Source organism: Homo sapiens, chromosome 18, assembly GCF_000001405.40.
Source record: "Homo sapiens chromosome 18, GRCh38.p14 Primary Assembly".
In the NCBI taxonomy this organism is placed as follows: domain Eukaryota; kingdom Metazoa; phylum Chordata; class Mammalia; order Primates; family Hominidae; genus Homo; species Homo sapiens.
Window position 1 is genome coordinate 67,450,048 of NC_000018.10, and position 3,114 is coordinate 67,453,161.

General features: G+C 40.7%; 2 annotated features.

Annotated features, from left to right (window-relative positions):
* Positions 624-1,183: an enhancer, noted in NCBI's record as "H3K27ac-H3K4me1 hESC enhancer chr18:65117908-65118467 (GRCh37/hg19 assembly coordinates)". NCBI's record gives its function as "activates a minimal SCP1, AML or CMV promoter by ChIP-STARR-seq in naive H9 embryonic stem cells {active_cell/tissue: H9 hESC(naive)}" and the evidence as "EXISTENCE:reporter gene assay evidence [ECO:0000049][PMID:30033119]".
* Positions 1,184-1,742: an enhancer, noted in NCBI's record as "H3K27ac-H3K4me1 hESC enhancer chr18:65118468-65119026 (GRCh37/hg19 assembly coordinates)". NCBI's record gives its function as "activates a minimal SCP1, AML or CMV promoter by ChIP-STARR-seq in naive H9 embryonic stem cells {active_cell/tissue: H9 hESC(naive)}" and the evidence as "EXISTENCE:reporter gene assay evidence [ECO:0000049][PMID:30033119]".

Below are 3,114 nucleotides of genomic sequence, written 5' to 3' on the forward strand. Positions count from 1 at the left end.
ACATTTTTTCCTTCATTTCAACTTTGGTGAATATGACAATTATGTGTCTTGGAGTTGCTCTTCTCAGGGAGTATCTTTGTGGTGTTCTCTGTATTTACTGAATTTGAATGTTGGCCTGCCTTGCTAGGTTGGGGAAGTTCTCCTGGATAATATCCTGAAGAGTGTTTTCCAACTTGGTTCAATTCTCCCCATCACTTTCAGGTACACCAATCAGATATAGATTTGGTCTTTTCACGTAGTCCCATATTTCTTGGAGGCTTTGTTCATTTCTTTTTACTCTTTTTTCTCTAAACTTCTCTTCTCGCTTCAGTTCATTTATTTGATCTTCAATCACTGATACCCTTTCTTCAAATCAGCTACTGAAGCTTGTGCATGTGTCACGTAGTTCTCATACCATGGTTTTCAGCTCCGTCAGGTCATTTAAGGTCTTCTCTACGCTGGTTATTCTAGTCAGACATTCGTCTAATCTTTTTTCAAGGTTTTTAGCTTCTTTGTGATGGGTTCAAACACCCTCCTTTAGCTCAGAGAAGTTTGTTATTACCAATCTTCTAAAGCCTTCTTCTCTCAAATCGTCAGAGTCATTCTCTGTCCAGCTTTGTTCCACTGCTGGTAAGGAGCTGTGTTCCTTTGGAGAAGAGGCACTCTGATTTTTAGAATTTTCAGCTTTTCTGCTCTGGTTTCTCCCCCCTTCTTTGTGGTTTATCTACCTTTGGTCTTTGATAATGTTGATGTACAGATGGGGTTTTGGTGTGGATGCCCTTTCTGTTTGTTAGTTTTCCTTCTAACAGTCAGGACCCTCAGCTACAGGTCTGTTGGAGTTTGCTGCAGGTCTGCTTCAGACCCTGTTTGCCTGGGTATCACCAGCGGAGGCTGCAGAACCGTAAATATTGCAGAATGGTAAATGTTGCTGCCTGATCATTCCTCTGGAAGCTTCATCTCAGAGGGGCACTCGGCCGTGTGAGGTGTCAGTCAGCCCCTACTGGGAGATGCCTCCCAGTTAGGCTACTTGGGGGTCAGGGACCGACTTGAAGAGGCAGTCTTTCCATTCTCAGATCTCAAACTCCGTTATGGAAGATCCACTACTCTCTTCAAAGCTGTCAGACAAGGACGTTTAAGTCTGCAGAAGTTTCTGCTGCCTTTTGTTCAGCTATGCCCTGCCCCCAGAGGTGAAGTCTGCAGAGGCAGGCAGGCCTCCTTGAGCTGCGGTGGGCTCCACCCAGTTCGAGCTTCCTGGCTGCCTTGTTTACCTACTCAAGCCTCAGCAAGGGCGGGCACCCCTCCCCCAGCCTCGCTGCCACCTTGCAGTTCGGTCTCAGACTGCTGAGCTAGCAGTGAGCAAAGCTCCATGGGCGTGGGACCCTCTGAGCCAGGCGTGGGATATAGTCTCCTGGTGTGCTCTTTGCTCAGTTGGAAATGCAGAAATCACCCGTCTTCTATGTCACTCATGCTGGGAGCTGTAGACTGGAGCTGTTCCTATTCGGCCATCTTGAAACCTCCCACCTCAATTGTGCCCCTTCTTATAATATTCTTAGTTGTACTTACTTGTCTCACAGTTATTCAATGTCTGTTATCCTAAGATAAAATGTCCTGTCTCTAAACTTTACCAGAAGATGATTCAACAAATCTTTCAAATAGAAAAAACAAAGAGCATAAAATGCTGCTGATTAATGCTTAAGCTGAAAATAATTATTTCTGCAGACAGAATCACATTTTCAATAAGAATCACAACATGAAGATCTGAACAAGTCTTGATGGGCTTCCTGTAGCATCAGCTGAGCGAGAATGGAAAGGAGAGTTCAACAGTTTTTGAAATTTCACACATTCTAGGAAAGACTGATATTGTTCCAAAGCCAACAGAACTGGTATTAAACTGATCTATCAGTTGAAACCAAACTAAAACAAACAAAATCTCTCCTTAATAAACATGATCTCTATTGCAAGTTAACCAGTGAGCAATAGTCCTTTCCTTCTGAAAGCCACCCAGGCAAGAAGGGATTCACTCCAAGAAACATATTTCAGAATATCAAACATTAAATAGTCTCACATGAGTAATAATGCTTCTACCCAGTTGAAGATACACCAATCTTCACCCCCATACTTCCTCTAAACCCATATAAGGTCATCAGTCCCTTCTATTAAGAGAGACTGTGCCTGATAAGCATAGTTTCTCATTTCTAGAGCAAGCAGAAATTGTGCCTTCTGTTTCCTCATTTCAGATATTCAGTGACGATCTTATTATCCTTTAGTACCAGTATGAATTCTAGGTTTCTGGTTTCGGCAAGCCCATGAACAAATAGTTAGTGTGACATATTTTTCCAGTTTTCTTAAAAGAGTCCTGACTTACATGTGGGCATCCCACGCAGTTAACCCCTCCATTAACTTCAAAAGTCTTACAGTATGGATAATAAGTTATGCATTCATTCAAATATCGTAGCATTCATAGAGATAATAAAATGATGACATTCTTTTTTGGACATTTTGTATTGAAAGTCTTTGTGAAACAGCCAAGTAAAAATTTTCAGTAAGATGGCTTATCATCACAATTATATGGTGAGTAACTGAAATCTCTGGAGTAATGGGGATCATATAAAAAGAAGAGACTGAAAGATGAGAGAAGAACTAAGATGAGTAGGAATTATTATCATTGAAGGAAAAATAACTCAAGAAGAGCACCCAGAAGTGTAACTGAAAAATCAGAAGAAAACAATGTCATCAAAGTCATAGGAAGAGAGTCATTTAAGGGTCGATGCATGTTCAGCATTTGGTGCGTATTGCAGACCTAACAGGTAAAGTTCTCAGAATATCTACACTGATGATTTTAGGAAGAACAATTTCAGTGGAGTAATTAATGAAGAAACAACTCAAATTATTGTGCAGTGATGTGTCAAAAGAACTATGAAAAAATAGATATCATGAATATAAATAGTGCTTTTCAAAAGAGTGGCTTTGAGAAGATAGGGAAGAGATTACACACTAGTTGAAGAAATGGGCTTAGTTTTATTTTCCACTTTGAAAATATGGATGAATGAGCTGGGAGGACATTATGTTCAGTGAAATAAGTCAGGCACAGAAAGACAAATACTGTGTGATCTCACTTAGATGTGGAATCTAACA